Below are 13328 nucleotides of genomic sequence, written 5' to 3'. Positions count from 1 at the left end.
TGATTCCTCACTTGTACTTCACCCTTGAGAAATCCCCCATTTTTTTCTTTTCTTTTTACACTATGCCTGGAATGCTTTCTTGTCTCTCTTGACCTTTTGCCTTCAGGTTTAACATCTCAGAAGTCTCTGTGAAACTTTCTGTGGCCCTCATCCCTGAACAGTTAATAATTTTTTTTAGCTAATTCAGTATGTTTATTGCATTTATCACTCTATGTAGCATTTGCATATTTATTTTCCCTAAGAGATTATGAGTTACTTTAGCTTCTGGCTTATGGAGTGGCAGGGTTTTTTGTCTTTGTCTCCCCAGCCCCATTGCGTAGCACCTGTTGGCTCAAGTGAATTCAGTTGACCTTAGGAGACAGTATCATTTTGGTTAATTTTTTTATAAAGTGAAATTCTGCTCGTTCATCACACAGTCTCATTTTACTTATCAGATGCTATAACTTTATACTCTGACCTTAAGTAATGGATGAAATTTTATTTTTATATATATATACACACACACATACATACACACACACATATATACACACACTTAATATATGTGTATGTATGTAATATGTATATATGTAATTAATATAGTGTGTATATATGTGTGTATATAAAGTATATATGTATAGATGTGTATATATACACACAGTGTATATATATTTATAAATGCAAATATATGTATATGTATATATACACATATTTATAAACAGATGTATATATACACATATACATATATGTATGTATCTATGTAAACATGTCTGTACATATGTACACATATGTATGTGTATGTGTATATACACATATATCTATATTTATAAATATAAATGATTTCACTTAAAGGTATTTGCTCTCTGAACTAGAAGCCCCAGGAAAGTAGGATCTACCTTGTTTATAGTTGCCCCCATGACTGTTTCTCTAGATTTGAAGTTTTATTCAGAAAATGTGTATTAAGTGTCTCTGTTGTTCTAGGGATATAATAGGCATAGTAAACCTTGCCCTGGCTTCTTTGTCTTAACTTGTATTTATATTCATGTAATAACATTGCTTAGAAATATATCTGAAAAGTTTCCTTTAAGCTAATTATCTTTTTTACTTCTTAAATCTTTTGTTTTCTGCTTTTAAATCTACTCTTTGGTATCATAAAAATTAAAATATATTCTATCTTAGTATGTAGAATGCTAGTAGTTGAATACTAAACAGTCCCAAACAACAGATGATATGGAAGCAGTTATGAATTATTTTTTCAAAGTCTCTTTAAACATCCTGTATTGAAAGATACAGGTTTAATGAAACTGAAATAATAGTTATGTATACAATGGAAATTCTTCTGACTTCTTCATGGAAGTCTTCTTTAATGTGTCACTTTACCCAATTTGAAAGGGAACCTATGTTTGTGTGTCCTGGATTATCAGAGAAGCAGTACTTGAAAATAGAATAGATATATTGAATAGCAGTATACCAGTATGTGTCTCTTGAAGAAATCTATATATATGAAAGTTCCAAGTGACAGTGTTAATGAACTTTTAGGTACAGTATCATATAAACACATAATTTCTTCTTTTAGACAGGATTTACCACTGATTTTATTGAAGTAGCTTGCTTATTTACAAACTTACACCAGTTATATAAAATCGATATACTTGAGAAATTGGGTGAATTCATGTAACTTTTGAATATATAGCTTATTTTTTTCGCTTTTGAAAATGTAGGATTTATTGTAATAATGACAACTAAGGTTTCATGATTGTACTAACATACAAATGACCAAAGAAGTTGCCTTTCTAAATTGGTACCAAGGAAACTTGACTTCCACTGCCTGCTCTAAAACATATTTTGGTTTCTTGCCACCACTACTTACCACTCTATTTACTGTGTACTTTAAGGCTTCCCGTCCACAGTAGCTTTGGTTATTCTCTGTGGCTACCAGTTTGGATCCTGAGCACCTGTATCATGGTCTAAGGTTGAGAATTATGTTTTTACTACCCCAAGCCGTTCTTGGAGTAGATGGTATTTTTTTTCTACCCCTCTGTCATTCAAGTAGATGATATTTGTATCAAATTATGAATTTCATCAGCCTTGACAGTATTGATTAACAGGTCCTAAATGTACAGTTTTATTCTTGAGTAAAAGTTATTTGTATTTTTTAATGGGGTTATTACCACTACCTTCCCCACACACTCAGGAAAAAAATAAACATAAAACCTATGTGGAAACACCAGAAAGAAGTAGGATTACTTGAGATTTTCATTATTTTATTTTTATCTAGTGAACTTGGTCTTCTAAATTCTCTGCATGAAATGTCTGTTCTTTTTTTTGAGGAAACAGATAGGCTGGCCTAATCCTTTCTAAGCTTTTGACAGTTTGATGTGGCAGTTATTACTTTTTAACCAATAGGGTTATTTTTAGAGAATATATTTGACATTATGTTTCTATAATTTAAAAAGGCAAAACTGGTTGGGCACAGTGGCTCACGCCTGTAATCCCAGCACTTTGGGAGGCTGCGGCCGGCAGGTCACCTGAGGTCAGGAGTTCGAGACCAGCCTGGCCAATATGGTGAAACCACGTCTCTACTAAAAATACAAAAATTAGCCAGGTGTGGTGGCGCACACCTGTAATCTCAGTACTGGGGAGGCTGAGGCATGAGAATAGCTTGAACCCAGGAGGCAGAGGCTGCAGTGAGCCGAGATCATGCCACTGTACTCCAGCCTGGGTGACAGAGCAAGACTCTGTCTCAAAAAAAAAAAAAAAAAAAAAAAACAGCCTATCTTAGTAATTTAACTTTTTAGCTGACTGTATTAAAATGGCAAAGAGGGTGAGATACTGAGATAGGTCCTCAGTTTCAGCGTCTTCTTTTTCTAAATGGTAAAAGTAAACATTTATCACAATACAATATGAATTAAAGAAAAAACAGCAATTATACATAAAATTGAAAAACAGTATATTGAACATTATTTTATGTTTTCCCTTTGGGAAACCTCTTTGGGGTTCCATTAGAATGCTTTTGGTTGCTGCCAAATAAAAGGAATTTCGTACTGTCTTAAAACTACAGAGACTTACTGATTTGATAGAAAAGTCTGGAAATAGCATCCCTTTTAGTTGTTTGTTCAGCCTATAACCTTACTGATTCTCCTGGCTTTGTCTCTTCCCTGTGTGGTACCGGTACCTCCTCATGTTGATTTCCTTTTGGGTTGCAAGATTATCACCAGGAGCAATGACAGCCACATGCTTTGTTTACATCCTTGGGGAGAGAGGGTTACTTCCCACAGCAGTGGTTCAGATGTCCTGAGCTTTTCTCTGATTAGACCACCCTTGACCTGATTGCAATAATGAGAGGAATGTGATTAATTGACTTGGATCACATTGTGCTCCTTGCCACCACCACAACTCCCACCTCCAGCAGAGAATAGGTTTAGTCTACCTAAACCATATGGCTACTATACAGTGGGGGAAAGGTGTTTTTAGGGAGAGATGCCACCTAGGCAATCAGACAATATCTGCTGCTAGTACAGATTTAGATAGTGATGAAATTAAATAGAAATAAAAGTAAGAAGAGAAGGTAAGGGCTAGAAAGAATGAATTAAGATACAAATGTAGTGGTAGAAACACTATGCCATATATAGTTATGACTTGCTGATTTAAATCCTAGAAATGTGTTATTAATGATGCATAAAAATCAACAAATTAAAATTTTAAAAAGAACAATTTTATTATAATTCATTTAAAAGACCCATTATATCAAAGCCATTGCTCAAAGGTATTATTATGGACTTGGAATGCTGGCTTAATTGTATAGTGAGAGATGTTGAAACAAGACCTTCTTGTAAATAGGTTACAACAGAGCACAGATTAGGAAGCCTCTGGGATCCCAAGTGATTTCTCTAAAGCTTTTTAGAAAGTTGACTCCAGGCAGTAGGAACCAGTGATTTTAGTTAGTACAGAAAGATACAGACGACATGAAATAGATTTTTGTTACAGTTTTTTACTGTGACTTTGGTTTGTAGGAGAGGAAAAATATCTTTTTCCTTCTACTCTTTTTGGTCCTTGATTGGGTCTCTAACAAAAGACAGATTAACAAGAGAAAAACTTATGAATTTATTTAATATAAGTTTTATGTGACAAAGAAACCTTCATAAGGAAATGAAAACCCAAATAAACAGTTAAACCTGAACGTTTTTATACCAGGTTTGAGGAAGAGTGCAAAGTTGTTGAAGAATGTGATAGGACAAATATGAGCTAAGAGCAGTAAACTGGAGGAAACTTAGCAAGATTCATCAGCAGAGGTTCATTCAGATTCCTTTTGGTATCCTTCTCTCTTCAGAAATGAGGATTCTCCTTTCCTCTGGGTATATGGAGGTCACCTCTCACCTGAGGGGCTTATGACCTCCTTCAGGTGAGGGTCAGAAAATCCTTCCTTTGGGAGGCCAAGATGGGCGGATCACCTGAGGTCAGGAGTTCAAGACCAGCCTGGCCAACATGGCAAAACCCCATCTCTGCTAAAAGTATAGAAAAATTAGTTGGGCATGGTGGTGGGCGCCTGTAATCTCAGCTACTCAGGCTGAGGCAGGAGAATTGCTTGAATCCGGGAGGCAGAGGCTGCCGTGAGCCAAGATCATGCCACTGCACTCCAGCCTGGGCGACAGAGCAAGACTCCATCTCAAAAAAAAAAAAAAAGAGAGAGAGAAAATCCTTCCTGAATTTTAGGATCTGCTTCAGAGGAGAAGGGGCTAGGGGAGATCAAAGTGACTCTCCTGCTTCTGCTGTTTTCTCAGATTCCTTCAGCTTAAAATATTCAGTACGTCAAGGTGCCATATTTTAGTTTAGCATGTCCAGAGCCCCATTACTGGTATCTCTTAGATGTGGTTCATCTCTGCCCCTATGAAATTCATGTGCATTCTTTGCCCTGCCATTGGGAGAGGCACAGTTCCTTCCCAATATAGCTCTCTGCTTTTTGTCTGCTGGTTTTGATTTTTCACTCTCACTCTCACCCATTGCATTTTTCTCAGGCTTGAATCAAGGCATCACTAGTCCCTAATGTCCGCCAGTTGCTGGAAATACGTAACAGCTTCCTAAATTGGTCTTGTCAGCATCCATTCTTTAAGGTTTGAGATGAAGCAGGTGGTGATAGCACCCTCATCCATCCTACTGCACCTTTTTGCAGGAGAAAGGGTTTGGAGTACAGTACTTCCTCTAAAAAAATTCTTTTTTTTTTTTTTTTTTTTTTGAGACAGAGTCTCACTCTGTCACCCAAGCTGGAGTGCGATGGCATGGTCTCAGCTCATTGCAACCTCCTCCTCCAGGGTTCAAGTGATTCTCCTGCCTCAGCCTCCCAAGTAGCTGGGACTACAGGTGCCCACCACCACACCCAGCTAATTTTTGTATTTTTAGTAGAGACAAGGTTTCACTATGTTGGCCAGGCTTGTTTTGAACTCCTGACCTCGTGATCCGCCCACCTCAGCCTCCCAAAGTGCTGGGATTACAGGCATGAGCCACCGCACCCGGCCAAGACATTCTTTACAGATCCTTTTCCTTTCCAACCCCCATCTCATATTAAAAAAAAAAAAAAAAATTCTTGAAGTGCTTGAGGGAGTTCAGAGTTGTGCAGCAGGATCAGCCATTTGCTTTCTAAATTCTGCAAATAATGATCTGTCTCATAAATCTTGGAATCTTGTATTTGTTACATGCTTTATTGGTACCTCAGTCAAAGTTTTTTTTTAAAAAAGGGTGGAGGGTAAGGGGTCATCTTTTGAGCTTTTTAAACTAAATATTAGAAAGGGCTTTCCGGTCATTAGGATTTTTCCAAACATAAAAGAACCATGATGAATCACAGTTTGACAAAGTATTTTATCTGTCTAGATGGAAGATGATATTCAGTTAGGGGAAATGGAAACAAGTGGTTGTCCAACATTTGTCAGAATTATTATAACCATAAAAGTAATCCATAAAAAGTAATCCAGTTGATTTTTTTTCCATTTTAGTAATATTTTTAGGTTAAATCAGACAAGGTGGTGCAGCATTTGATATAAAGGCTTGGTATCAGGTGAACCGTCCTGCTTTGGAGATTTGTGTACCATTCTTTCTATAGATTGTAATTTATCTTCTTAGGACTTATTTTTGCGATCTTATTTCAGATTTTTTATTTCCTGCAGTTCTTGTTTTTTCATTTTGTTCTTTATACTGCAGAAATCCATTTTTCTCCTGTGGTTTAATAGTCATACATTCTCTTATTCTTAAGGTGATTGCCTTTAACTTAAGGCATTTACTGTCTTAGTTTAAGCCTCTGTGTGCCTTCCCACTGCGCCACATGGGTGGGGCTCGTTTATTTGGGACATGATCCCAGGAAGTAGAGTGAAAGACTAGGGAGAATGAGGCAAGGAAGGGAGAAAAACCAGTAAAGCGTTCTAAGTATCACTGTGGGCCACTGGGGCTCAGTCTCCCTGAGGAACCATGAAGAGAGGCCTCAGGAGCCCACCAAAGGGAGGCTGAGGTGTTCATTCCACCCCCCCGCCACCCAGAGGCATCACTTCCCCCTTGGGGGATGCATCAGAACAGCCCCCAGCAGAACAGCAGAGCCCCCTGCAGCATAGGCAGGAGCAACTGGCACAGGAACTGTTCTCCACAGCTGCGCTGAAGCCCGGTTGAGGGGACATGCATGCAGCCACAGGCCTCTGCTGCAGGGTTTGTTTATTTACCTCCCTGATTATGTAAACATCTTCCCTTTCTTCACACAAGCACTTTGGCACATTCCCACATTTCTCTGGTCTGTACCCATTCTGTCCCCTGCTAAATAATCTTGGGGTTGTTATGGACATACTTTCTTTTGGTCTTTGATTTTTTAAATAATGTTGAGCTTTTCTTAATCATTCTTACTGCCCGTATCTCTGGCATTATCTGTTTGGGGTTTTTTTTCCATCATATATGCTTCCTCTAAGAGGTTTTTTTGGTTAAGTGTCTGAGACCTTGAACACTTGGAAATACCCTATTGTGCCCTCAAATTTAAATGACAGCTGGACATAAAGCTGTAGGCTTAAAGGTAATTCATTGAGTTTTATGATAAAGAACAAATTTTTTTTTTTTTTTTAGACAGAGTCTCACCCTTTTGCCCATGCTGGAGTGCGGTGGCACAATCACAGCTCACTGCAGCCTCAACCTTCCAGGCTCAAGCAATCCTCCCACCTCAGTCACCTGAGTAGCTGGGACTACAGGTGTGTGCCACCACGCCTGGCTGATTTTTGTATTTTTTGTAGAGATGGGGTTTTGCCATGTTGCCCAGGCTGGTCTTGCAGTGGCGCGATCTCGGCTCACTGCAAGCTCCACCTCCCGGGTTCATGCCATTCTCCTGCCTCAGCCTCCCAAGTAGCTGGGACTACAGGCACCCGCCACCACACCCAGCTAATTTTTTGTATTTTTAGTAGAGACGGGGTTTCACCGTGTTAGCCAGGATGGTCTCGATCTCCTGACCTCATGATCCACAGTTTCTTAAAATATGATTACATAATTTTTTTTATTTGTAGTTGAGGTAAATATTACAGCTCAAGTAAATATAAGTTTATTTATCGGTATACTAATGTGATCTCTTCAGTTTTATTTTCCCTTAAATTCTGAGAAGGTCTCAGGGTGTCTTTGTCTCTCTCTTTCTGTATTTTGCATTATTCATTTATTATTTGGATTAAAACCTGTTTTTAGGCCAGGCACAGTCACTCACACCTGTAATCCCAGCACTTTGGGAGGCTGAGGCAGGCAGATTGCTGGAGCCCAGGAGTTTGAGACCAGCCTGGGCAACATTGGGAGACCCATCTCTACAAAACAAACAAACAAAAACAAAACAAAACAAAACAAAAAAACAAAGAATTAGCTGTGCATGATGGCAGGCTCCTCCTGTAAGTCCCAGTTACTCAGGAGGCTGAGGTGGGAGGATTGATTGAGTCCAGGAGGTCGAGGCTGCAGCGAGCCATGATCATGCCACTGCACTCCAGTTTGGGCAACAGAGTGAGACCTTGTCTCAAGAAAACCAGAAAACAAAAAACCTGTTTTTAGGGTAGGGAAGATTTTCCAAATGAACCTTCTGTTTTTACAGTAATAGCAAACTGCTGTTTTCTTTCTGTGGTCTTTTGCTTTCTACAGTATTCCCCCAGTGATATATAGATATACAGACTAGTTTTGGCTCTAGAGTGTCTTAGATAGCCCAGACATATCTTGAGTCTTAGTAGAAAACTCTTATACCAGAGGGATGTGTAAGGAAGGAGTAATGGTAAGAAAACATGCCTTGATTTCAGGAAATCCTCTTGACCCCCAGGATGATTTTCTCTTGTTGCTTACATGCCTGCTTTTATCACCATGCTACCTGAATCAATAGCTAATAATTTATAAAACTGCTTCTTCTAAGAGGTTTCTGCTTATTTTAGTCTTTGATATTATCAGCCTAAAATGACAGTTGATGGTTAAAATATTGTCAATGGATACAATATGGGTGGGTAAAATTATGCAGTTAAACAGGGTAAAACTAAGTTTCCCCCAACCCCTCTATTATATATATATATACTCTTGGCATTGGCTTTCAAATTATGTTCCTTAGGATCACTGGTATTCTACTGAAATAAAATAATACAATTTATTTAAAAAGTGAATAGAATGAACAAATTATGATTTTTTTCTCATAAATTTTTCTTAAATCTGCGCTGAAAGAAATTAAGCAAATGACATTTTTCTTAAATCTACGCTGAAAGAAATTAAGAAGCAAATTAACAAGAAGAATTTGGCAACAGCCTGTAATTTTAGTTTACCATTCTCTCTAGCTTTTATAATGGAATTAAATCAGTATTTTATGGTATTCCAAAAAGAATGTGTATGCTTTTGAGGTACTTTGACAGTTGAACACATTTGAGAACCACTGTTTTTGGTAAAAATGAAAATAGAATTTATATGTTGAAAAGTAAAGAAGAGTAGTGCAAAGATGAATTCAACATAAATAGAGTTTATATGTTGAAAAGTAAAGAAGAGTAGTACAAAGATGAGTTCAACATTTATTTACATAAAAGTTGTTTTGAATGGATAAAAGTTGCCCCCATTCTTCATGAGATTGTTTTCTTAATGTAAATGTAATATGTTAATGTAAATACCTTGATTGATTGATTGATTGATTGTGAACTTACAGGAGCCCAGGCTTGTGTGCTCGTGTTCTCTACCACAGATAGGGAATCTTTTGAAGCAGTTTCCAGTTGGAGAGAGAAAGTAGTAGCCGAAGTGGGAGATATACCAACTGTACTTGTGCAAAACAAGATTGATCTTCTGGATGATTCTTGTATAAAGAAGTAAGATGGCTACTTTTGGGGAAGGAGGGACAGTAATTCTATAAAGTTAAGACATCTTAATTTTTGCATAGTTTTACAGGTTCTAGGAAAAATTCTATACTTTCATTTTGAAGGCTTTAATGACTTAAATATTTTAATTTACCTAAAATTTCTGTGAGCTATTCTATGTGATTGGTTTGGGTTAAAAAATTCATTGATTCCTAAGTAGATAAAATTAAAGGATTAAAATTTGAAGGCTCTTTTAGAATTCTAATCTCAGGTCTTTGCACAAGAAATCTAATTCTTCATGTTAAGTCAAACCTTAATATGGTAAGAATGTTAAGAAAAGCATCCCTAGATTTTGTAATACCCAGAATAAGTAACTATCCTATGTTGATGAATTTTAATTAAGGGTTCAGATTCATATTGTTTTGTATATTCAGAACTCTTATGCTCAAATTTGTGAACAGATAATTTCTGTTCATAAATATTTACTTATTGTATTATTATTTTTGCCAGTTTTGAAAATATTTGCTTGGTTTTTACCTGTTTTTTAAGTCTTCTTATGTTAGTTATCTGTTGCTATGTAACAAATTAGCCCAAAACTTAGTGTCTTAAAACAACAAACATCTATTATATCACAGTTTCTGTAGATCAGGAGTTTGAGAATGGCTTAGCTGGTGGTTTTTCATGAAGCTGCAGTTGAGATGTTGGCTAGGCCTGTTCTCACGGAAAGGCTACACTGGTGCTGGACCATCCATTTCTATGATGGCTTATTCACTTGGCAGGAAGCCTTAGTTCCTTGTCAGATGGGCCTCTCCTATTCTCACAACACGGCAGCTATTTCTCCCAGAGTGGGTGATCCAAGAAAGAGCAAGACAGAAGCCACAGTGTTTCTTATGACCCAGTCTTATACTGTCCCTTGTATTGCATATTAGTGGACACCCAGACCAACCTTGATTACAGTGTGGGAGGAGACTACACAAGGGGCTGAAGACCAGAAGCCAGAGAAATAGCGGGAGCCTATGGGGCATGGTTACAACAGTCTCTAATGACATTAATATCAGGAGTCCACAACCAGGAATCCTGATAAAACTAAAATTAGGAGTACAATTTGGAGATGTAGTCATTAATATACTGACTTTGGCTTTAGGCAGCAAAATTGTTTCATGGCCAGTAAGAATAAAATAAGTAATTCACTGTAAGATTTTCAGAGTGTAATTAACTACAGGTGTTCTCAGGAAGAGATAAAATTAATTAAAATATTATACAAAGAAAAGTGATATTTTCTTAGTTTAGGGCTAGAGATTAATGACTTTATAGAAAAGTCTTCTATGTACACATACGGTATAACAGTTGGTGTTTATTTCTCAAGAGTAGTGAAAACTAAAATCAGTACAGGCACTAAATGAAAACATAGCTTTCAACTGATTTTACTTAACTGGGAAATTATATCAAGCTCTTTTAAAAAGAAATATGAAAATTTTCTGAAAGATCTGATCCACCTTCCCTCCCTTCCCTGCCAAACTGTATTCAGTAAATGTAATTAAAAGTGATTTAAAAAACAAGCTATCAGAAGGCACCTTTGTAAAGCATTTTTTTTTAAATTGATGTGCAGTGAGGAAGCTGAGGCACTGGCAAAAAGGTTAAAGTTAAGATTCTACAGAACATCAGTGAAAGAAGATCTAAATGTGAATGAAGGTAAATTACCTTTAAAGGATATAGATTGCAAAAAGAAATTTTATTCTTGCGCTTTTAAAATTGTGTTGTTTAGAAATTATATTTATAACGAGAACAAGATTTTTTTGTCACCTAACATTAAGTAGAATTTAAAGGCTTTCTACTTCTTTTTGTTAGTGCTTAATTATTTACTAATGCCCTTGAATACTTTTCATCCTCGTAAGGTTTTCCATTTTTATTATTATCTTTGAAAAATGTAAGCTATATATGTAGAGTATATGCATATGTGGTTTTGATGCATACCTGTTAAAAATAACTCAGTTGTTTTAGAACTCCATGATAGTAGATATTCCACTAGGTAGTTAGTTTATTTAATAGTATTTAATTTAATACTTTAATTTAATAGTATTTCCTAGTTTAAGAAAGTGAAATTAGAAAAAGATGGTAAGTTATTTTTCTCATTCTGGAATTGCCACTTATTTAGATTGCAACTAGATATTCTCTTGGATGTCTATTTTGGATACTTTTCTTCACATAAAGGAGACATCTTTTCAAGAGTGAGTCTGTTTAGTGTTGCTTAGTATTAATCACTATTCAGATACTTAGAAGAGCCAATCATTACAAGTATTATTTCACTTATTTACTAATAAAATACCATTATACATTTGTTAATATTATCATTGTACTCAGATACTGCCCAAATAATTTTTAAAAGTTGAATTTTTAACTAGATTGTATGCTCCTAATTGTAACTTTAAATTTGTTTAGTAAGTATAAATATTACAAATGATGTGAAATAACAGATTTACATGCATAAATCATTGACCTGGTTCTGGGTGTTTTCTTTTTATTCTAGTTTTTAAGTATTTGGCTGAAAAATACCTTCAGAAACTCAAACAACAAATAGCTGAGGATCCAGAACTAACGCATTCAAGTAGTAACAAGATTGGTAAGTACATAGGAAATTTTAGCCCATGTTTACTTGGTAAAGTTAAAAAACACATATAATATGCTCATTTCTTTCAGAAATGTGATTTAAAAGTGATTATTAAACTATTAAGTCAGTGATTTAAGTATCAGGTCTCTTGTTAAAAGGTATATTGTGTTAATGGGGGTTTTTTTGCCATTGAATTTTATAAATCCATTTGATAGATTAAACACAACAGAGATAAAGACTTTTTGTAAAGATCTGTCCTTTATATAAAGGAACTTTATAACAGTTATTCTTCTGAATCTGTACTTACACTGGCTCTTACCTTTTCCCTTTCTTACTATCTTGCTTATTACCCATTACTGATTTTGCTTTTTCTTATGTTAAATGCCAGCAAAACTTTAGCATTCTCTGAAGAACAAGTGTGTTGTGTTCTCTTTCACAATAACTGCCTGACCAGATGTCTCTCTTCTTGTTCTGGATTCCAGGAAAATGAGAGCCAAAGTTGCTGGTTCTAAATCTTGATACTTGTATAATCTCTTAAGGACTTCATATCTGTATTCTGTCCCCCTTCACTACATATGTAGAAACAAACACATTATTTTCTGGACCTGTTTTAACTTAGATTTTTCCTGGATTCTGGCTTTTTTTTTTTTCTGCCTTTGCCATTTTCATTGCAAAATTTCTTGCCATCAGAGACCTCAAATGCTTTGTGAACACAAGACACTTATAATAAGCCTCTACCTGGTGTGATCTCCTTGGCTCCCCTTTTGTCTTCTTCATATCTACTGATTAAAGCTTTAATAAGACTCATTGTGGAACAAAGTAAATGCAGATTCTCTTCAATCCAACATTTAAAGGTGGTTTTGCCCTTCCTTCTGTGTAGCCTCCTGCCACACCATTACATCTATGTAACCCATTTACTGGTTCTCTCAGAGGTCTTGATCTTTCCTGAGTATGCCCCATGCTTGCTTTCTTCTTCACTTTTGGTCATTTTTTTTCTTCTATTGAGAATGACCTCTTTCCCATCTTCTGTCGAAGAACAATTCATTCCTCAAGGCCTTTCTAGAAAGTTTTCAGTTGTGTATCTGCCTGCCTGAAGACACATCCTCCATACTCTTTTTCTTTCTTTTTTAAAGAAACAGAGTCTCACTGTGTTGTCCAGGCTGGTCTTGAACTCCTGGGCTCAAGTGATCCTCCTGTCTCGGCTTCCCAAAGGGTTGGGATTATAGGTGTGAGCCACTGCCCAGCCTCCATCTTCTAAAAGAATAGACATCTAAGCCCAGGGCACTGCCAAGTGTCCAGTTCTACCTTCTTCATGTAGTTTTTCCTTTCTTATGTATCAGATGCAATCTGTCCTTCCTTTGAAACTTCTGTAAGATTTTGTGTCTCTTTTATGACACTTAACATATAATGTCATATGGCATTACTTGTTTACT

General features: G+C 36.4%; 1 protein-coding gene across 6 annotated transcripts in view; it reads left to right on the top strand.

Moving 5' to 3' along the window:
* RAB23 (RAB23, member RAS oncogene family) overlaps positions 1–13328 on the top strand; it is a 35316-nt gene that overhangs the window by 16559 nt on the left and 5429 nt on the right. For 5 of the 6 annotated variants that reach the window (NM_001278666.2, NM_001278667.2, NM_016277.5 and 2 more), the window contains exons 4-6: positions 9143–9299; positions 10897–10979; positions 11815–11907. In NM_001278666.2, coding sequence (NP_001265595.1) covers positions 9143–9299; positions 10897–10979; positions 11815–11907 — 333 coding nt within the window. The remainder of the gene's footprint in view (positions 1–9142; positions 9300–10896; positions 10980–11814; positions 11908–13328) is intronic. The other variant, NR_103822.2, reaches the window with a different exon arrangement.

This window comes from Homo sapiens, chromosome 6, assembly GCF_000001405.40.
Source record: "Homo sapiens chromosome 6, GRCh38.p14 Primary Assembly".
Classification (NCBI taxonomy): Eukaryota; Metazoa; Chordata; class Mammalia; order Primates; family Hominidae; genus Homo; species Homo sapiens.
Note: the sequence above shows the minus strand (reverse complement) of the source record. Positions and strands in the feature narration are given on the sequence as shown.